This window comes from Homo sapiens, chromosome 3, assembly GCF_000001405.40.
Source record: "Homo sapiens chromosome 3, GRCh38.p14 Primary Assembly".
Lineage (NCBI taxonomy): Eukaryota > Metazoa > Chordata > Mammalia > Primates > Hominidae > Homo > Homo sapiens.
This window is the reverse complement of record NC_000003.12, coordinates 40,596,127-40,619,160: the sequence shown is the minus strand read 5'-3', so window position 1 is coordinate 40,619,160 and position 23,034 is coordinate 40,596,127. Positions and strand designations below refer to the sequence as shown.

The 23,034-nt window shown below is 42.6% G+C and overlaps 1 long non-coding RNA gene and 1 pseudogene across 1 annotated transcript, besides 2 other annotated features; one reads left to right on the top strand and one right to left on the bottom strand.

Annotated features, from left to right (window-relative positions):
- Positions 2,668-3,195: an enhancer, noted in NCBI's record as "H3K27ac-H3K4me1 hESC enhancer chr3:40657457-40657984 (GRCh37/hg19 assembly coordinates)". NCBI's record gives its function as "activates a minimal SCP1, AML or CMV promoter by ChIP-STARR-seq in primed H9 embryonic stem cells {active_cell/tissue: H9 hESC(primed)}" and the evidence as "EXISTENCE:reporter gene assay evidence [ECO:0000049][PMID:30033119]".
- Positions 3,196-3,723: an enhancer, noted in NCBI's record as "H3K27ac-H3K4me1 hESC enhancer chr3:40656929-40657456 (GRCh37/hg19 assembly coordinates)". NCBI's record gives its function as "activates a minimal SCP1, AML or CMV promoter by ChIP-STARR-seq in naive and primed H9 embryonic stem cells {active_cell/tissue: H9 hESC(naive and primed)}" and the evidence as "EXISTENCE:reporter gene assay evidence [ECO:0000049][PMID:30033119]".
- Positions 11,235-22,915, bottom strand: LOC124909369 (uncharacterized). Its single transcript, XR_007095879.1, has 2 exons — positions 22,497-22,915; positions 11,235-15,530 (listed from the first exon to the last, which is right to left on the bottom strand). It is a non-coding gene; the product is annotated as an uncharacterized LOC124909369 (long non-coding RNA).
- EEF1GP3 (eukaryotic translation elongation factor 1 gamma pseudogene 3) lies at positions 21,642-23,032 on the top strand (annotated as a pseudogene).

Here is a 23,034-nt window from a genome sequence, read left to right as displayed (position 1 = left end):
GGAGGCAAAGGTTGCAGTGAGCCGTGATCGCGCCACTGCACTCCAGCCTGGATGAGCAATACAGCGAGACTCCGAAGAACCTCTCTGACTCTAAAATCTAGGCTGTTTCAGAAAAGCAAACATGATGTTCCTGCTACTGCAGAATTAAAGGGTCTGTCTGCTGTGCTCTTGATGGAAGGAATGTCCCTGGGAAGCATTGTCCTCCTCTTCTTGTTGGCATCCTGGTGCCATTTAGATTGGTTTGAATTTGACTTCTGGCATTTTTGGAGAATAACTTGCATGAGTGCAGGGAATGGGGGCTCTGATCTCACCAAATGTGGTGATCTTGGGTAGGTTCTGAAGGATGTTAATGGCCTTCTTTCCTGGGTATTGGCTGCTACATAGTAGCAGTAATCACTAGCACTCAGGACTCTGAAATCTTTTTTCCAAAACTGGAAATCCTCATTTAGTCCACAAAGTTATCCTGAGAAGTGAGTGCCACTAGCCTCATATTCCAGATTATGAAAGTTAAGCTCCAAAAGCTTGAATGACTCAACTCACCCAAAGTCACCATAAGAGAAGAGCTAGGAAAACAGTCTGTGTTTCTGGCACTGCATCCATGTCCATTGCTCTTCTTAAGTATATAGATGAATCTAGAAGCTCTAGCCTCCAGCTGTGTGGTGACTGCTGTTGGTATGACAATCATAACCCTTGCCCTTACCATTTCAGTGCACAACTGCCCAACTTCCAGCTACTGGCACCTGCATCTCTTGGGCTAAGGTTTTTCTTTGGTCAATGGAGTCCCCATACCCTGTGAGGCAGGCCAGAAATGGTAGGGGAATTTAGCACCCCCACTCCCACAAGCAACCTGTCAGTCACCAGTGGCCAGCTCCACCACACTTCAGGTGGAATAACCCCAAGGCATGCTCTGCACTGCCTTGGAGTGGCCCTTGAAGAATTAAGCCCCAGTTGCCCACAGTGGTAACCTGCTTGATTACACCCCCTTTAATGACTTCCTTCCCTGTCTCACTTGCAGGTGTTACCTATGATCACCTTCCAGATTACCCCCACTGGAATCCTGGTGTCAGCTTCTACCTCTGGTGAACCCAAACCAAGACGGGCTATCCTATGGTTAAAATAGGGCCAAAAAAAAAAAAAGTCTCTCTTTTGCCAAGGGTTGTTGCAGATTTATGAGACCATATTCTTAAAGCCTAAGGAGAGAAAGGTACCTGATTAGGAGCAGACACCAGCTTTGTTCAAAACCCATAAAACATGCTACATCCCATACAAAGTGTACTGTGCAGTCATTTTTAAAAATGAGGAAGATCTTAATATGCTGGTATGAAACCATAGCCAAGATATATTGCATAGAGGGGAAAAAAAAAAAAGCAAGTGACAGAACAGTGTATTTAGGAAGCTGCCACTGTGGATTTTAAGAGAATTTATATACATATGTATGTGAGGAATATCTCTGAAAGATACACACAAAATAAAAACAGAAAAGTATAGGAGTCCCCGAGGAGACAGACCGGGGACTAGAAACCATTTTCTCTTTTCATTGTTTAAACCAGCTTTACGATATCCTTATATTACTTTTTAAAAAGGAAAAAGGACAAGGAAAAACACTACTAAATGAAACACACCAAAAAGGCTCATAAAAAAAAAAATCGATGTGCATCATGCTTAGCTGAGGAACAGTTTGTCAGGGGACCCCAAAATCTGCATTTCTAATTAGTCCTCAAGTGACTCTGATGTTAGTGGACTGTGCTCTAAGAAAACCTACCATAAAATGCCATCCCTTCACTGGGCTGCAGAACACTGCCAAAGGCTCTGGAGGAACGGGTGTACTGAAGATGGGCAGTGCTGGGGGCGTCTGCAAGGGCAGTGCTGGGGGCATCACCAAGGGCTGTACCTGAGAGGGCACATCTTTGCTCACCGCAACAGGACACTTAGTGATAAAGGTACAAACCATTTCCTTTTCCTGACTCACCTCTCAGGCAGTGGCCACCATCTCCCTGGTGAAGCTTTGAGCAAGATTATTTTGTTTGCTTTCTCCTTTCCTTCTGAAGAGGATGCTCTGCTGGCCCAAACAGTGAGAAAATTAGAAGCAACTTAATTTTTTAAAACATGAGGCAAGAATGAAAATCACATGCAGCATGAAATCTAAATTTGAGCCAAATAGACCATTGTAGCATCCTATAAAAAAAACCCAAACAGAGACAGACAAAGAAAGCAATGGCAAACAATCTCCAAATTGATTTAAAATTAACTGGACATCTGGTCATAAGGTGAAACAGCCACCAGGCACCTGAACTTGAGGTGACAGGTAGACTTTTCACGAATCTTGGAATTCACAAAATTGCAGTGAACACTGGGAATTAAGAAGTTCCCATTAAATGGTGATCATGACACAAAAGGTACCATTTGGTCCTTACAGCTGGTTTCGTGGAACCAAGTAGGCAAAAGAAACAGGTGCAGAAGGAAAGCAGAGTAGCTGATTGTCTGCAGACCAATCTGCGGTTTAATCTCACATGTCCCAGTTGCCTGGGACAACATAGTTCTCAAGTGCTGTTAAGTGTTTCACAAACTATAGCAGGCACCCTGCTACAGGACGAACACTAGGTGAAGGCACCAGGAGCCCCGCCCAGCCGTCCTCCTTTATCTGCTCCCCTAGAAGAGCACAGAAGGAAGCTGGGGTAACCAAATAAAAGACAGATGCTGGGAGTCGGTGATCCAGCTTGGAGGTGGAATCGAGACCTCGCTGGACCCCAGGCCCCAGCAAAAAAGGAGAGCAAAAGCCAACTTTGGCTCAACCTGATAATGAGCCAACCTCATTATGATATTAGCTGCCAGGATGAACAACACTCTCTTAATAATGCACACATCGCTATGACAACCGCCCACTTGGCTACCTAAAGATAACTTCATTGTGTGGCCATGCTTGCTTGTTTGAAAAGAAATGCTGTCTACTGTGAGTTTCAGCATTCTGCTCCTCTCTAACGCCTATGGTTCTGTGCAGTGTGTGTGCCTGTACATGTGTGCGAGCAGGCCAGGTGCATGTATGTGTGTGCATGCTGTGAGTGTGCCGCAGAGGGCAGGCAGGGAGCCCGAGCCCCCATGGCAGTCCTGGCTTCAGGGATATAGTCTAGTTCTCAAGGTTGGTAAAATTTCTGTCGGGCACAGGCACCCAAGCGTGTTGACATAATTATTCAGGAAGACAGGCTTGGCCAGGATTAATACTGTGATTAATTATGGTGGGAGTTTCAACAACCAAGTGCGTGCTCCGGAGGGTCGGCAGGGACATGACAGCCCCTGGCCTGCTCCCCGGCAGTGCGGCCGGCCGGCCGAGGAGGGTGTTGAGCGGGGAGCCGCATGGGCCTGACGGTAATGAGAAATGAGAAAAGTGCTGAAAAATTGATGGCGCCTGCAGATTGCGCAGGCTGGCACACAGCGGGGGGCCCCCTGCAGCAGGCGCGCGGGGCGCAGTATGCTAATGCCGGCGCCTGGGCCCCGGGAAAGGGAGGAAGAAAAGCCTGCACAAAGAAGAGAAATGCAAATGACAGGCACAGAGATCAGTGCCGAGAATCCCGGATTAACTGCGTGGAGCTGGTGCTTGCCCGGGTTTAACCCTTTCTGGACTATGTCAGGGCTGCAGGCGGGGGTGCTGCTGGGAGCTTTGGTCTGCATCTGGGTCCAGGACTAAGTGAGGATGCAGGGAAAATGAAGCTGGGAAGAACCAAGAAGCTGAAGGAAAGGGTCTGGTTTTTGTCAGGGTAGTGACTTCTTCGAAAAAGGTGCTGGGGGAAGTGAGGAAGCGATGTCTGGGGATAGGAAAAGGAGCGGCCCAGCCGACAGTGGTGGCCTAACAAGCACCCCGGGAACTTCTACAACGTGGGCCAGTGGGAAAGGAGGCCAGGAAGAGGAAGCACCCTGCTGGAATGTCCAGTCCTTCGTCTGGGTGATGGTTACACAGATAGCTGAGGGTTTGGGCCATAATCCCAAACATAGAAATCTTGAAAGATCAAAATCCCTTAAGTCTAAAATTGACACCAGACAGCTACAATATTATTTACATGATGTTGTAAATAGAAGATGTGTGCACTTTACTGTATCTCAGTTATGCTTTAATCAAAAATGAAAAGCGGAAGGGGGAAAAAAAGGCCAGAGCAGAGGGCCGGTTATGAACTTCTCAGACTTACCTTCTTGGGGAGAGAACCATGAAGCGCATTTCATGAATAGTGAGCGTCCCCAAACAATCAGGGTCTTGGTGCTGTGCATGTTCTCTCTCTCTCTCTCTCTCTCTCTCTCTCTCTTTCTCTCTCTCTCTCTCTCTCTCTCTCTCAAAATGTCACCATGGTTTGTGCCCCTGGAGAGGAAAATATTTGCTAAAACATAGACATACGCATCCACAACTCTGCTTCCTGGGAAGTGTGTTGAGGTGAGAAGTCGGCAATAACTCCACAAGGAGTCCCAGATGGAGCGGAGTGTCAAATCTTTGGAGCAGCCAGGAAGAGGAAAGGGACTCTGAAACTCCAGAGGATCAAATTCTGTTTAAATGTGGGCAGACCTGGAGAGATGTTAGGGACACCAGGTTACACCAACAATGGGGAGAAATGTATATGTATGTTGTTGGGGGGTGCAGAATCAAAGACATTCCATTTATGTAATAAAATGTAAGTTATTCAGATATCTACATATTTATCTTTTAAGTCTGAATGACTGTAGATCTGCCTGTTAATAGTAGTTTCCTCCGTGAGATAGAAGGACCTGAACTTTCTCTGTAGGGTTTGAATTTTTTAAAATAATGTTCAAGTCTTAGGAAAAAATAGATCCATTTTGAAAGGAAAAAAAAAATAGCAAAATGGGGCCAGGCACGGTGGCTCATGCCTCTAATCCTAGCACTTTGGGAGGCTGAAGCAGGCGGATTGCCTGAGCTCAGGAGCTCGAGGCTAGTCTGGCCAACATAGCGAAACCCCATTTCTCCCAAAAATACAAAAAATTAGCTGGGCGTGGTGGTGCATACCTGTAGTCCTAGATACTTGGGAGGCTGAGGCAGGAGAATCGCTTGAACCTGGGAGGCAGGGGTTGCCGTGAGCTGAGATTTTGCCACTGCACTCCAGCCTGGACAACAGAGTGAGACTCTGTCTCCAAAAACTAAAACTAAAACACACACACACACACACACACACACACACACACACACACACATATATATATATATATATATATATATATATATATATAGCAAAGTAAGTGGGAACCATGGGAAGACTGGCATGGGAGCCATGTATATGTGTGTATGTGTGTGTGTGTGTGTGTGTGTGTATGTATATATATATATATATATATATATATATATATATATATATATATATATGTATGTATAGCAAAGCAAGTGGGAGCCATGGGAAGACCGAATTCCAGAAGCAGAAGCCATTCCTCCTTGGAGATAAGGCCTTCTAGACTCTGCTTTCTCTTCCAGGAGAGTATCTGGAAGGCCTGCGGTCCCTGTGGTCACTCCAAACCACCACCTCCAGCTCTGCCTTTCCAGTGCCCTCCTTCCACAAGAAAAGAAAGAAATGCTCCCCTTTACATGTGTAGGGATGGGAGGTTCTGGGCCAAGAGTCTTCTCCAAAGCTTTTCTCATTTATAAGGGGCACTACTAAACTCGTTGCCTGTGAGCACAGAGCTTTCCTATCTACTTCTCTACTTCCACTCCAAGCATTCCACTCGATCCTCCCTATCAGTCCATTTTGCAGATGGAGGCGCAGAACTGCAGATCTAGAGGAGACTGTAGAGATTGCCTTTGTGGGGGACAGAGTGGGCGTGAAGGTGATATTTATAGATACCTATTTTGTGCCCACACTGTACAGGACATTTTGTGAACAGGACTTCTGCCCAGTTCCACCTCATCACTTTCCTGATAGGGAAACTCTTTGCTTGCAGAAACGCTCTCTTGAGGGACTGCAGGGAAATGACTCTCTACCCCCGTCAATATGGTTACACATCCACATCTGCGTTCCATCTCCATGGCTGCCTTGCCTAGCACAGGGTCCAGAACAGAACCAGAGGTTGTATTATTGTGTTGGTTATATGTTTTCCCCTGGGACAAACAAAACAAAGCAGATGGTTTGTGCTGTGGTTCCTTTGAACCAGAAATTACAATCTTTGCTTCAAGACACAAGAGGATTATGAAGCCTTTTAAATGTCCTCCCTTTCTCGTTTTACTGCGAAGCTTCAGTGAACTCCAAACCCAGGGGTATTCATCGTAGCACAACAGATTAACCAAATAGGACTGGGAAGTCATTTGAGATCTTCTTCCTTTACCTAAGCCCCATGAGAGGATGGGGCTTACGGGAAGCTCAGGGAAGGGACTGCCTTTGCGGAGGCAGGCACAGCTTCACTAGGCACAGCAATTATTCTAAAAACATCTGGGGCATGAAAATTTAAAACACAAGCATTACAATGGGTAGAGTTTTTGCCCAGGATATTTCCTGTGCATTGCCTCTCCTGCTGGGAGAGGCTGGTCAGGAAGCCTTCCCAGTTGGTAAGGTCTGTCCTCTTCCTCCACCTGTGCTGAGCAAGGGTTTAGGATTTGAATTTGTTTGGTGCAGCACCCTCCAACCTTCCCTGTCCTTTTGATTCCCAAATAGGAGGAAATCCGTCAATCACAGAGGATTGCTTATGTGTCGGCCCAATAGGAGGGCAACCCAACTTTTGCTTTCTGTTTCATATATATGTTCACTTGACATTAAAAAAAAAAAAAAAAAAAAAAAAAAAACTGGCCTGTGACACTTTCATCAACTCCTTACCCTGAAAATTGGGGAAAAAAAAAAGGATTAAGCAATTCCCCACTTTTAGGAATAGTAGTTTACACCTCATTGATGATGAAAAAATCATCTTTACAGAAGAATGCCAGCTAATAAATATGCAAGGAACCAAGGAATTCGAAAATCACCCGTTTGCAGCCCTAAACGAAGTAAAGGATTCAGGCAAAGATCATCAACAAAAGTTAAAGCCATTTGGTATTAGAGTGGAATAAAGTCAATTTTAGTTATGTAAAAGTGAGAAAAATTATTTCCTATCTGTCTTTGCTTGGAAAGTCATGAGGAGATAAGGCCCAACAAAATAAGGGTGTAAATGTGGCCTGTGGGGACCAGGAGAGCCAGGCATCAGCAAGTGTGGAGGGAAGTCTTGGGAAGATGAGCAATCAGCCCAAACAGGAGACAAGAGGCAAACTGGGGGCTGGAGTCGGAGAGATTTGTGTCATTTTCATGACAATTTAGACTTAAAAAGACAATAAAGGCAAACAACGAAAAAACAAAAGAAAAAATCTCTTTTTTTAACTCCAGCAAGAAAAAAAAATACTGTTCAATGAAAGCACTGTCCTCACAGTGCACTAGTTGGCTCTGAAGTGAATTATGATTCCATAGTCACAGCCATGTAATCCCTATTTACTGATTGTCAACTTTTAAAGTTGAACAAGAACAAACAAAAAGACTTTAGGGTAAAATAACACGATAAAAACATCCTCCACCTTAACGTAGACATCTAAGTACAGATAATGAGAGTGGAAAGGGGTAGGAGATTGTGGGGGATGATAGCACCTTCATCTTACAAGATGAGGAGTCAGAAGATGCTCTTATTGACCAAATTAGAAAAAAAGCATAAACAAATCACTAAAAGTAACAAATGTAACCCATAGAAAAAGGGAAGAATGATATTATTGTATTGAGCGTTAAGGAGAGATGCAGAGGTGGTGGAAGAGAATTAAATCTTCATCTGTCATAGGAAGAAGTCAGTAATTAATGTCTAGAATCGATCAATCTATAAATTGTGGCAAAATATATTTTAAAAATAGGGAGGTAATGCTCAGAAGAAATAGCTAAAAGTGTTAATAAAGACTGTCTCTGGGCCAGGCATGGTGGCTCATGCCTGTGATCCCAGCACTTAGGGAGGCCTAGGCAGGCAGATCGCTTGAGCCCAAGAGTTTGAGACCAGCCTGGCCAACATGGCAAAACCCTGTCTCTACAAAAAATACAAAATTAGCTGGGCATGGTGGCATGTGCCTGTGGTCCCAGCTACTCAGTGGAGGGGGTGCTGAGGCAGTATACAACACAGCCTCCCGAAAGTCAAGGCTGCGGTGGCTATGATTGTGCCATGGCACTCCAGCCTGGGGGACAGAAACCCTATCTCAGAAGAAAAAAACAGGCTGTCTCTGAAGAATGGGGCTCATGATGGGAAGGATGAAGCAAGAAAGAGTTGTTTCTCTTTATAAGTCTTTTTGTTTAATTTGATTTTTTTAACCAAACACATGTATTACCTCAATTTTTAAAACCCATAATAAAAATATATAATAGTTAAAAGAAATCACCAAATAATTAATTTGAGGATTACTGTCATCCTATGAATATGTATTCTCTTGATTTTAAAAATATGTTGACATAGAGTTAACAGAATTGCAACTCAACAATTAATATGAAACTACTGATACACGTAAGAACTGGGTCTTCCCACTCTCAAATTGGTATGTTCCTTAAATTATTTATGTTTTCTTTTATGTCTCTCAGAGAATTTTTGTTATCTAAAGCTTATATATTGTTTATGTATATTTCTTGCTGAGTTTATCCCTAAGGACTTTATATTTGTATTCCTATTTTCAGTGGGATTTTTAAAGTAAGATTTATAAGTGACTATCACTGACATGGAAAAATCATTGATTTTGCTACATTTAAATATCACCCTCATACTGCAATCTTATATTATTATAAATAGTTTTTTAGTTTAATCTCTTTTTGTTTTTATTAAGCTGATGATAATATCATCCATGAGTAATGATTAGCCCAGCCCTAATTCTGCTCATTCCTTTGCTCTATTTACTCAATTTTTTAAGTTATTAAATAGCACCAATGGAGAGCATACTTATTTCTTCCCTTGACGTTAATGGAAACACAACTAATGTTTCACTCAGCGGGGTTTGAGTTAGCTGCTGTCAGAAGCTGACAATGCATAGCAGTCAAGAGGAAGGATCTCCAGATGAGACTGCCACGTCCTGAGTCACATCTGGATCCACCATTTACTTAGCATCATGACCTTGACCAATTACTTAGCCTCTCTACACCATAGCTCTTTCTGTAAAATGGGATGACACTGCCTACCTCTGAGCATAATCGTGCTCATTAAATGAGATTATCTGTATAAAGCACCTGTAACAATGCTCGGGCAGGTCTAGTTAGTGCTGCTTTCAAGAATCTGACATATGACACTCATTCCATATCATCTTGTTAGAATCGGCCTTTTTTCAGCCCCTTGAGGCCATTTTGGACCTTGAGTCTGTCCTCAGTTTTCATGGTTTCCATTAGTTCAGCAAAACCTTGCTGATTCCCTAGGCATTTGGGGTGTCGTATTCATTTTAGACAAGGAATCATGATTGTCACCCAGGTTCCCTGTGGATCTTCTCTTCTTTCTTCTTGTATCCTATTGAGAAATGTGCATCATGAGAAAGGTGCATGGCCCTAGGACTAGAGCCATGACTTCACCCCAGGCTGTCCCTTTTTTTTTTTTTTTCACTTAGAATGAGTTTATTAATATATTCACAATGATATTAAAAGTGCCACTGTGTGGTCTTGGGTAAAGTGAGCTTCTCTTGGCTTTGTTTCTCATCTCTAAGTTGAATGAGACTGTCTCCTTCACAGAGCTGTCTTGGAAATTAAAGGGCAAACAGAAATGCATGGTTAGCCTGGCACCTGTACCACACCTTCTTCATTTCTTTCCACTTCTCCACCCAGGGCTCCTTTGTCCAAAATGAGAAGTAGTGAGTGGCCTGGAATGTGGGAGAAAACCATGCTTCCTGTGATTAAGCTCAGCTCCACTTGGGTGGATTGAATTTGGTCTTCTTTCCAGGCTCAGCTCAGGACAGAGTCAGACATATTGGTTCCCAGTACTGAAATAGAAACTGAGCCATCTCAGAAGATGCTAACACCTCTGAAAAATAGTGAGAATCCTATTCCCTTTACCAGCAGCAGCTCTGAATCCTCAGCTGAGGAACTCGGGTGTGGAACACAGAGACACAGCTTCCTTCTCTGCAGGGATCAATTCTTTCTCAGCCAGAGCTGTTCGACGCCCTTAGATGTTCCAGAAAGGCACCCACAGCTCTATGCAAAATATTTTTATTAATATTTGGACAAGAAAAAGGAATGCATTCTCATGCAGCTACATCTGCAAGCAGCAAAGAGACATTCAAATCTGTCTGAGACAAACCAAGCAAATGCCACAAAAACACAGACGAAAGTCCTCCTACTGCCTGTCTTGGTTGACTGAATACCAATTATCAGCATGTATAGACTCATCCACTTGGCACACATGTGAACACTGATGTGTTCTGCTTGCCAAGCCATCTTCACTGAGGACATGAAGAAGAGCACAGAGACTCTTCCCAACAGTGATGCTTCAACCTCAGATCCAGATGTTCATTACAGTCATCCTTGGGAGGTTTTCCAGAGTGGCATCCGGAACCATTAGACACCTGCAAAGTGTACAGCTTCCTTTAGCTGGCTCTTCCTCCTACTTTCTCCATCTTTCTGAATGGCCTCAACAATTCACCCAAGTCAGAGACTTGGTAAAACCCTCAAATCTTTGTCTGTCACCCCTCCATCCAATCAGTCCCCAAATCCTGTTGATTTGACTTCTTAACTATCATCCAGGTATGTCCATTTCTTTTTCCTTCTTCAGTGCTTCCTGAATTCCTGCAATAGCTTCTTGCTTGGTCTCTTTACTCTAGTGTTTTCCTCTCCAATCTATTTTCCACAAAGCAGCTAAAGTGATTGTGGGTGTTAATGACTCACAAAGGGCTTCCCCTCTGGGTGAATTCCAAATTCTTAGCGTGGCATACAAGGCCCTGTGTGATCTGACAGTGCCAACCTCTCCCTGCCCTCTCCATGCCCCCACTGCTGTGCTCCAGCCAGGCTGGAGTGGTCCAGCTCTATCGCACTTATCTTCTCACTGACTGTTTCCACTGCCTCCAACCACCTCCTCCTCATTAACTCCAGTTCACCCTCAGACTCAAGTGTCATGTCCTAGAAAGACCTTTCTTGATCCTGCTCATACTGAGTTTGTGGTCCTCCTTTAGGCTCCCAGAGAGACCTGGGATGACTTCTTGGTCACTTCTCAGTGTCCTTAGCTAGACTATGAGCTCCTTGCCGGCCAAGAATGCATCTTATTCAACATTGCATCTCAAACACGAGTAAATAATAACATTTGAGTTAATAGTAAATACTCAATAACATTTATTGAAAATATTAATTTATTCCTCAAAATAAAGCATTGACAAAGCACCCTGCTGCTACTCTCTTTTGAGCATTACATTACTGATTACAAACACATCCACCACCTTTATTCATCTAAACCACAAAATAACCCACCCAAGATGCTGCAAGATGGTACTGTTTCCATTTTATAGGTAAGAGCAACCAAACCTTTTAATATGAAAACTGAAGCTCCAAGAATTTAAGTGACCTGACCAAGACCGTGAGCTGGTAAACAGATCTGTATGGATGTAATGATGTTTTACATGGCTGACCTACTCAGCACCTCCTATATGCCAGCACCTACTACATGCCAGGCTCGGTGAGGTCCTTTACAGGAGTCATTTTGTTTATTCTTCTGAACCCTAGTTTAGTGTTCTTCCTACAAGACTACTAAGTTTGTTTTAACCATCCGGAAACGTTTGTGCAATGAGAGACATCAGAAGGGCTTTTTTCTGAAGATAACTCACCCACTGCTACAGTGTCAAGAGTTTATCCATGGTTCCAGTTCAAGTTAAGACCATAGAATTTCCACGTTATAAGAGAACAGCAACTCACAGGTCTACCCCAACCACTATAATGTAGCACACCAAGGCCATCTACATAGCTCTAGTTAGTTGCCTAGTATCCGCCAAGAAAATAGGACCCAGCAGGAGGAGGAAGGAGTAATGAGACATTTTGATTCTCTTCCCAACATCTTTTTCATCCTATATCTACTATGCAGTTTCCAGGAAGTCTGGGAGAAATGTTACTCCAATCTAGGGGTTGAGGGTGGGGATGATGCTCTTATTGTTTTTAACCCAACCAGCTTAATCCTATGCCTACCTATAACAAAAGTATACTTTTAATTTTTCCATGCCTTTTCCAGCTCATGGCATCTCCTCGATCTAAGGAATTAGTTCAGGGATGTGCAGATGAACAAATTCAGGACTTTAAGACATGAGTGTGGATTTCAGAAGGTTTCAGGCAGGGAAATTTTCTCACTGTAAAAAAAAGCATTCCTAGTAATCACTCCTTTGTTTTCCTCTGGCATATGGAAGCAAAGCCCAGGGTGGCTATAGCCACACTAGCACCATGAGAGAAGCCCCTCTGAGGATGAAGTCTCCACGCAGGCAAAAATCCAGCCAGAGTGATCACAGAGGCACAGCTCCAGAGCCACTGTGATGATACACTCTCTGATGCCTACCTTACTCTGGATGATTATTCAATAATGTAAGGTGACATATTTCTTGATAGTTTAAGCCAGATAGAGACACGTACTCAGGTATTTGTTGCAAAAAAACATTTCAACACATACAATCCCTTTACCAATGAAAGGGTTGAGAAAGATCTTCATGGGAATGCCATGAGGTCACAAAAGTGAGAGAAGCATAATAAAACCTTGGCATCTTGGGAGGCAGTGGTTAAGGACATGGACTCTAACTGTATTCAAATCCCAGCTGTGACATTCACTAGCTCTGCTACTGAGCATGTTACTTAATCTTTTGAAATTTCTATTGCTGCATTTATGAAATAGGGATAATAATTCTTACTTCATAGGACAGCTGTAAAGATGAAATAAAATAATGCATTTTAAAAACTTTGCACAGTGCCTGGTGTATAGTAGCAGTAGCTGCTGTTATTTAGTAATGGTGGTAGTAATGGTAGTGGTGGTAATGGTGGTTGGTAGTAATAATTATTCTACGTACATAAAACCTTCAAAGTCATCCATGCATTGCTCAGCCCTGGTGGTGTTGATGGAATCTAGAGTCCACTATGACTCAGAGTTTAGCTCATTGCACCTAATGGCTGAAAACTGAGCTTTTTGCAAATAGATATAAATCCCCAATAAAATTGTTGGGGAGTTTTAATTAAGGTGATCAGGCTAATTAATGATTCCCTCTGGGCAAGTGCTGAGGAACCCAGAAGGGGAGCAAGAGCTTTCAAAACATACCCAGAGCAATCCATTCACTGATTTACAAACGGCACCAGCTCTTCCCTGGCTGTTGGCTCTCAAGGCTGTTCCCCCATTCAGGGTCCTCCTGGCTCTTTTGCAACCACATACACACCCATTTATCAAAAGAGAAGGTTGGGTCATCAAACCGGTGATTTCCTTATTCTCACTCAATTCTTGCAGAGGAAGAATTGAGTGAATTAATGGACTAGAAATGGCTGCAGAGCTTTGGAATAAGGAATCCAGATTCTCACTCTGTTCCACCATAAACTTGAAACAGATAAAGCCCCAGGACTCAGGAGTTCAAGTCCCTCTAAACCCTATGGAATGTAAATCCTTCCCAGACATGATCTTGCCCTTGGCAGCCCTCTCCCAACTCTTCCAGACAGGAAAAGGAATAAAATATACATTTATTCAGGATCATTACCTCGAGCCAGGTCTTGTGCTGGGTACTGGAACTCTAAGACTGGGTGAGGTTCTGGAATCAGAATGTGAACCAAATAATTGTCTTAAGGATTAAATGAGTTTCTTCACATGCTGAGAGCAGTGCTCCTCAGACAGTAACATGCACACGAAATATGTGAGGATCCTGTTAAAGCACAGATTCTGATTCAGCAGGTCTGGGGTGGGGTCTGAAAAACTATGTTTCTTACAAGCTTCTGGGTTATTCCAGTGGTGCTGATCCAAGGACCATACTTTGTGTAGCAAGGACTTAGAAGCCTGCCTCACTTAGTGAATGTTACATGTGGTAGCTATAATTATATGTGTTTAGTAATTGATGAGCAAAATTGAGCTGAAGTTTTTACAGTCTGATAACAGTATATTCAGGGTTTTCATATCTCTCATTTTCTTTAATCCTCATAATTCAACACCGTAGGGATTCATGTCCCCATTTACAAGTAAGAGATTTGAGGCTCAGGGGGTAACTCAGAGTGACCAACTGTCCAAGTTTGCTTGGGATTTTCCTGGGTCTAGCACTGGAAGTCTTGCATCCCAAGAATCCCCTCAGCCCCAGACAAACTAAAAGGGGTTGGTCACCCTAGAACTAATAAGTACTCTACTGGAATTCAAAGCCAGGTCTCTGAATTCCAAAGATGTATTCTTTCCTGGAGACTAGCACTGCCTCGAGGCTAAACAGAGGAGGTAAGCATGTGTATGTGGGGGGATGGAGGGAGGTTGAGGGGCTTCCAGATTGTGAGTATGCTTCTCCTCGTTTCTAAAAGCTTTCTTTCTTCTAATATAAAACAAGGATATACAAAGACTCATGAAACGAAAATATAATTTAGTGAATTACTCTAAGTCAAACCCTTCTGTAATTACACCTATGTCATGAACTAGAACTTGCATCTACATGAGAAGCCCTTCTGTGTGCCCCATCTCAATCACTACACAAACACACTCTCCAAACAAGACCACTACTCTCACATTTTTTTAACTTTTAAGTTCATGGGTACAAGTGCAGGTTTGTTACATAGGTGAACTCGTGTCATGGGGGTTTGTTGTACAGATTATTTTTATCACCCAGGTATTAAGCCTAGTACCCATCAGTTATTTTCCTGATCCTCTCTTTTCTCCCACCCTACACCCTCCAGTAGGTCCCAGTGTGTGTTGTTCCCCTCTGAGTGCCCATGTGTTCTCATGATCTAGCTCCCAGTTACAAGTGAGAACACGCAGTATTTGGTTTTCTGTTCCTGTGCTAGTTTGCTAAGGATAATAGCCTTCAGCTCCATCCATGTCCCTTCAAAGAAGATAAGCTTATTCTTTTTTAAGGTTGCATAGTATTCCATGGTGTGTTTGTACCAATTTTTCCTTATCCAGTCTATCATTGATGGGCATTTAGGTTGATTCCAGGTCTTTGCTACTGTGAATATTGCTGCAGTGAACATATGCATGCATGTGTCTTTACAATTGCTTCCTTGCAATTCTTTAGTTTTATCACCCAGGATAAATCCCTGAACAATATAATTTACCTGTGCCTGTTCTTTAATTTATTTCATATGCCTTTTAGTTTCATATGTCTCTTTGTTTATAGGTTTTCTCTCCCTCACCCCCCACTCTTACCCCTTTCTATTTGTTAAAGGAAATTTGATCCATCAAGTTTCCCACAAGCCATTACTAGTTTGTTCTTGTTTTTGTCTTTGCATCCTCTTGGTATAGTGCAAAATATCCCTCTGTCCTCTGTATTTCCTATAAACAGGTAGCTGTGTGTAAAGGCAAGATCAGATTCAGGTTTGGTTTTGTGGGGGCAGAACTTTAGAAGTATGTTCTTCCATCAAGAGACTCATAATGTCTAGTTGTCTCCCTCTGTCGAAAACCTGTAAATAAAGGAAAAAATCAATCATTAATCCTGACTTTCTATAGGAACTCTTCCACTAGGTAATGAAATAGTAGACCAAAAGAAGTGCCTCTTCAGAGAAGTCTTCCAGCTAATAAATGAAAAAATAAATGATAAAACTAGATATCATTATTTTTCAACCCTCAATCCATCATTAATGAATGAATCATTATATTTCAATGAAATTCAGAGAATAGGAGGGGCTCAGGTCTCCTCAGCTCCCATTCAGTAACAAAGTAATATCAAAGGAGGGAAGTGACAGTCCAAAGTCACTTGGGTTAGAGAAGAGAGTCAACAAATCCCAGAGCTCTGGATCCCATATACAGACTTTGTGTACAGACCAATTTCATGGTATTTACAGCTGTTGTCTCTTGTCTCCTCTCTCCATATTCAGGGATATATGCTCATACACTGTAAGAGATTGTCTCCAAAGGTGCCCCCTCAGCCCCCAATGAATAATGCCTCTCAGTACTTATGTCTTTATATAGTCACACTCACACACACACACACACACTCATGAGCATGCACATACACTTACTCACACACTGAATCCAGGCTAGCTCTGTAACCAATAAAATGTGGTGGAAGAGACACTGCATCACTTCCAAGTCTAGGCATAAGAAGCCTTGCAACTTCAACCCTGTTATCTGGGAACACTCATTCTGTGGGAAGCCTGGACTATGTCAGAAATCTGACTATGCTGAGACTGCCACGCTGTGAGGAAGCCCAAGCTTAGCCATGTGGAGAGGCTGCATGGAAAACTGCCTAACCAACTCCTGGCTGTTTCAGTTCTACAACCCAGGAGGTAAGTATGTAAGTGAAAACATTTTAGGTGTTTTTGACCTGACTGATGCCATGTGGAGAAAAAAACAGGGAACCCAGCTGATAGAACCAAGGGTTCTGGATATATGGCCCCAGTCAAGTTTTCCCCACCATCTCCAACCATTTGAGCTACTCCAGTTAAGACCTGATACAACTTAGAGCAGGGACAAGCCATCTCTGCCATACCCTGCCCAAATTCCTGACTCACAGAATTGTGAGCATAATAAAAAGTTTGTTGCCTTATGCCATTGTTTTGACATGACCTGTTACAGCAATAACCAAACATACACAGAGTTTATATTCATATGCATAAATTAGATGCCTTCTGCTATCACAGGACATAAGAACCTCTTGAAAAAAGAAATCCATTGATTCCCCTTTGGACAAGCTTCAAAATGTCAGAGACCAGGTCTCTTGTTAACTCACCCTTGTATTCCCCAGCCCCCGTGCAGCCATCTGGTCCCATTTTAATCTCTAAAATCACCCTGGGTTGAATGACCTTTGGGTGTCCTAGTCTCTCATCATTTATATTTTTTCATTTATCTCTTCTCTACCTGCCTTGGGTAATTTTAAGTTCCTTAGGGATAGGGATACTATCATATTTTTATTATGGAATATTTCACATGAACTAAAATATATAATGTGTATGTAAAGTATATGCATTATAATGAAACAAACACCATAAATCTACTTGGTGCCAACTTGAAAAATAAAACATGAACAACAGGGAGCTTTCCTTTGAAGTTCTCTAGTGCCCCTGATGGCAGACATCATCTTTCCACAGAGGGATCCACTTTCTTAAACTTTATGTTAACATTTCCTTCCTTTTCTTTATAGTTCTGCAACAGATGTACGTATTTCTAAAAAACATTTGACTTAGTTTTGCATTCCTTTGAATTTTATAGAAATAATATTACAGTGTATTAATTCTTCAGCAATTTGCTTTTCTATTCAACATTATATTTCTGATTGTACTCTCCATTAAAATGTGTAGCATTACTTTCTCTGCTGTATAGTATTTCAGTATACGAATACACTATTCTGTAATGTTGTTTGTATTGTTTCCAGACTTTTTGCTATTAAACAATACTGTTATGGACATTGTTGAGTATATCTCCTGGTGTAAGTACTTCTCCAAGAGAACCCATTTGTCACTGTTGTTTCTTTAGTGTCTTGCACAATGCCTGACATTATAGGCATTCAATGAAATATTGAATGAGTGAATGAGTAACTATGTTGTTCAAGTTTTCCTTATTCTTGCATATTTTCTTTTCTGATCTATTTATTGCTGAGAGAAATATGTTAAAATATCCTACTATTCTGGGGATTTTACAGTTCTGTTAATTTTTATTTTACATAACTCAGAGATATTAAGTATAAGTGGATTAGAAATATGTCCTCCTAGTGAACTAAAACTTTTATTCTTATATAAGAATTATCAATCTCTAGAAATAGCTTCTTGATCATGGTATATTTTGTGTGACATTAGTGTTATTAAACCAGTTTTCTTTTGTTACTATTTGCCTGTTATAGCTTTTAGTATTATTTATTCTCAAACTTCTGCTGTCTTCTTCTTTTTCTTTATAATAGTATACTTTGGGGTTTTTCCTCTAGTCTGGTAATCTATGTCTTTTAAACAGTTTAGTGTACTAACATTTACTGTGATTACAAATGTATTTGGATTTATTTCTACCATTTTTTTTCCTTGCTATTAATCCTGTTTCTCCTTTGTGCATGATTGTGTGTATGTGTGTTTCTTCTCTTTTGGGGCCTCGTTTCCAATTCATCAAAATTTTAGCTTGCTTACTATCAAACTTTGCAAAAGGCATTCTGGCACCAACCCCACCCCAGGGCCAACCCATGTCCACTGATACATAGAGGATATATTTTCCCCTTTACCCAGAATCAAGGTTAGGCTGAGACAGGCAAGTTTTCTTGCATCTTGCCTCTGCAGGAGGGTTTTTCTTGGTTTACTTTTTACTGAGAGTGTAGCCCTTTGTGGATCATATCTTCATATGGAGTGGAGAAAAGATACCACTCCAACTCTCTCCAGGCTTGGTGCCTTGTCTCCTTCCATGTCTGTGGCTACAGATGCCCCCAGACAGCCAGTAACATCAGTGCTTATTCATTCCCACTCTCACTTCATCCCTGGTCTCTGAAAACTTTCTTCATTTTTTTACAAGGCCATCCATGCATTTAAAATTATGTCTCTTACATTTTATCTATCATTTTAGTTGTGTGGTAATAGAAGGGTTTCAGATTTTCCAATCTCCCAATTTACCAGAATAGAAATCTCTTTTTCTAACTCCTTTAAAGAAAATAAATTGTCACATACAACATATGGCAGGCAAACTACCAAGATTATTCTCCTTTTTTAAAAAGAATAAGAGGTCAGATATTATTCAAACTAATGTATCTTGGGGATGATATTGCTCCAGAGGTTCACCAATAAACACTTAGAAGAAAATGGCGTCATCCAGAAATGATTCCACGAAGGTACATTCCTAGGAGAATTTTCTTCTTGGAACAGCAACAAAGACTTGCAACCAAATATTAGGGAGAGATTTCTCTATACCTCATTTGTAATTAATGAAAGCACTCCATTGAAGATCAATGTATTATTAACAATGGTTACACAAGTTTAAAGTTTCATGAAGATCACTGTTTACAAAGCACTTTTATTATACTTATCTTGTACCCCTTTTGACAGATGTTCCGAAAGACCCCTGGATTAGGAGCTATGGGCAGGAGTGCTAGGGCACCTTCCACAGAGTCAGAAGACCCAGCACCAACAACAATAACAAACCTTTTTTGAAGAAGCTTTTGACAAGCCACCTAAAATCCAAAAACCTCTGCTTTCTCCCTTTCCTGGTTTAGCTTCATTATACTGAAATCTATTAGGACACAGGTTCTTTCCAGTCACTGCCTTTTGCTAAACTCAGAGTTCCTACAGTCCTCACCTTCCAGTAAGCACATTTTACCATAGATTCAACCCAAGTCCATCAAAGTTTGTATATAGTACCCTCCCTTCCCCATTAATAGCCGGTCTCCCAGGCTCTTAAAGCAGAAGTGGATTATGAGAAGACAGTCAAACAGTGAACAATCTGAAACTCTCCCATTCCCCTCATGTCCCCACCCAGTGTAGGACCTCTCAAACAACAAGCTCTCCACAGTCTCAGGACATCGCTAGTGCAGAAACCGTGGCTTTGTTGGATGAAACTCTAGCTCTAAGCAGACTGATCCTAGGCACTAAGAAGACTGATCCTAGGCACCTGGCCATCAATGGCCCCCAATGTTGTTCTTTTTGAGCAGGACAAATATAGAAAAGCAGAGTTTGGGCCCCATTGCTATTTCTAGGATTGCCAAGAATAACCCGTTGTCATGCTCCGTAGTCCATATTGTGTGAGATCTTTATTCTTTCAATGCTCTGATTCTTGACATTAAAAATGAGAGACATTGATTTGTCTTTCCTTATGCAAAATCTGCAGTTTTTCTGGCTCTTCCCCCACATAGTACCTCAGAACATTTTTGGCCTTTTCTCTGACATCCTGACATTGTAACCACAGAACCACTTCGATGTGGTTCAACTTTGTCAGTAACAAAATAATGAGCTGTTTCTCAGTGCAATGGACTCTCAGGTTGCAGGTCACATAACCTGAGCTTACCCAGATGAACCAGCATGCCCAATTTGTGACCCCAATGCCAGCCAGAATAACAAAGTCAACCACAGGTGGAACCTAAGTGCTTGGATTGAGGAACAGGGACCAAATTAAGAATCAAGGGGTGCTCTGTTTCGTTGCGGTACAGACCCAAAAGCCAAGGACTCAGCATCACCTCTTTGCATAAACCAATTTAGATCGTGCCTCATTGCATTTTCCTATCTCTCTCATTGTTACTCTCTGCTTTTAAAATATGCCCCTAGACCGCAGCTCGGGGAGACAGTGTTGAACGTTGCCTCCTGTCTCCTTGCCAGTTTACTTGCAATAAAGCTTTTTCCTTTCTCAAAAGCTGATCCTATAGTATTGACTTCTATGCACATGGATAGCAAAACCATTCCTCAGTAACAACATGACCCAGAACATTCCAAGGCATGATTATAATCACCTAACATTTCAATATTGATTCATCTCAATAAATTGAGAGTATTTATTCACTCTCAAAACATGTCACAGTTCCAGTTTCAATCAGAACACAAGTATTGCAAAAAAATTGAGGCTCTTAGAAAATGTAGCAAACCAAGATCATTTACATATATAAGATAGCTTAGGCTCAGAGTAGGTACTTACTCCAGGTCTCACATCCCCAGAGTTACAGGGCCAGGACACAAACTCAGGCCATCTCTACCCAAATCCACTGACTTTGCCACTAGTCCATACTAGCTCACATTGGGTAGCTCAGTTCTTCAGAATAACTCCATCTTATGGGGAAAACTGATAATATAAAAAAGTCTAGTCTTTACCATGATGCCATAGCTGGGGTGAGAATCAAATTTATCAAAACAATGGAGAGAATGAGGGAAAGAGAAAGGGGAAAGGGAGTCTCTTTGTGAAGTGATTCTTGTTTCTGATTCATATTCTTTATGGAGTTTTTCACCTTTTAGACCTCCTGTTAATCTGAATTAGAGTTCTGTGCCACCCTGTCCTGGTCCCACACACAAACACACACTTGAATAGTCTAAGGGTAATGTGTCCTAAGAAGGCCAGAGAAGTCACTCAGTAGGGGTGCTCCATCCCAATGGATGCAGCTCTCTGTCCTGAAGTGCATGGGGGAGAAACATAAGTCAACAGCTGGGGACTCTATCCAGATAAAGCCACAACCCAGATGAGAAGAGGCCAGATAAACAAGGCTGCCCAGTGCTCGGCCTCCTCTCTGGGCAAGGTGGCCTAGGGTCAGAGAGCAAAACATGTACCTGTCCCCAGGGCTGGTATGTTTTGTTTTGTTTTTTTAATCATTTAGGCAATGGATTAAGGAACAGGGACCAAATTAAGAATCAAGGGGTGCTCTGTTTCGTTGTGGTACAGACCCAAAAGCCAAAGACCCAGCGTCACCTTCATCAAGAATCTGGCTCCTTTAATTAGACTGAGCTATGGACCAAGGGCCAGGAATTCAACTCTCAGCCCCATCCTACCACTGTGGTGTGACTCACCTGACCACAATGTCTTTTCCTCTTGCCTCCCTTCCCCACTGCCTCGCTCATAGGTGATAGAAAGTCTGCCTATAGGCCTTCCTCAGAGGGCCTCAATCAGGCATATGATAAAAATAACAGCAACACCCCCTTTCTCTGCAGGATCACCATGGCAGCTGGGACCCTGTACTCATATCCTGAAAACCTGAGGGCCTTCAAGGTGTTCATTGCTACTCAGTACAGCGAGTCTCAGGTCCACGTGCTCTCCGCACCACCCCACTCCCACTTTGGCCAAACCAACAACACCCCTGAATTTCTCTGCAAGTTTCTTGCCGGCAAGTTTCCAGTATTAGAGGGTGATGATGGATTCTGTGTGTTTGAGAGCAATGCCATTGCCTACTATGAGGAGCTGCAGGGAAGTACTCCAGCGGCAACAGCCCAAGTGGTGCAGTGGGTGAGCTTTGCTGACAGCGATACAGTGCCAGTACCTGGGTGTTCCTCACCGTGGGCATCATGCAGCATAACAAAAAGGCCACTGAGAGTGCAAAGAAGGAGGTGAGGTGAATTCTGGGGCTGCTGCATGCTCACTTGAAGATGAGGACTTTTCTGGTGGGTGAACAAGTGCCACTGGCTGATATCACAGTTGTCTGCATGCTGTTGTAGCTCTATAAGCAGGTCCTGGAGGCTTCTTTCCACCAGGCCTTCCCCAATACCAACCGCTGGTTCCTCACCTGCATTAACCAGCCCCAATTCCAGGTTGTTTGTGGGGAAGTGAGTCTGTGTGAGAACATGGCCCAGTTTGATGCTAAAAAGTTTGCAGAGAGCCACCCTAAACAGGACACCCCATGGAAAAGGAAGTGTTCACAGGAAGGGAAGCAGAAGCCCCAGGCTGAGCAGAAAGAGGGTAAAAAGGCAGCTGCCCCTGCTTCTGAGGAGGAGATGGATGAATGTGAGCAGGTGCTGGCTGCTGAGCCCAAGGCCAAGGACCCCTTCACTTACCATCCAAGAGTACCTTTGTGTTGGATAAATTTCAGTGCAGGTACTCTAAGGAGGACACACTCTCTGTGGTGCTGCCATATTTTTGGGAGCAGTTCAATAAGGACAGCTGGTTCCTGTGGTTCTCAGAGTATCACTTCCTTGAAGAACTCACCCAGATCTTCATGAGTTGCAATCTCATCACTGGAATATTCTAGTGACTGGCCAAGCTGTGGAAGAATGTTTTTGTCAGTGTCTTCTTTGGAACCAACAACAGCAGCTCTGAGTCTGGGTCTTCCAGGGCCAGGAGCTTCCCTTTTCGCTGAGTCCAGATTGGCAGGTGAGACTACAAGTCATATACATAGTGGAAACTGGATCCTGGCAGCAAGGAGACCCAGGCACTGGTTCGAGAGTACTTTTACTGGGAGGGGGCCTTCTAGCATGTGGGCCAAGCCTTCAGTCAGGGCAAAATCATCAAATGAGCAACTCTTGCCATTGCCTACCTGCCTGCACCTGCCCTTCAGGGAGATGGGGGTCATTAAAGGAAACTGAATACTGAAAA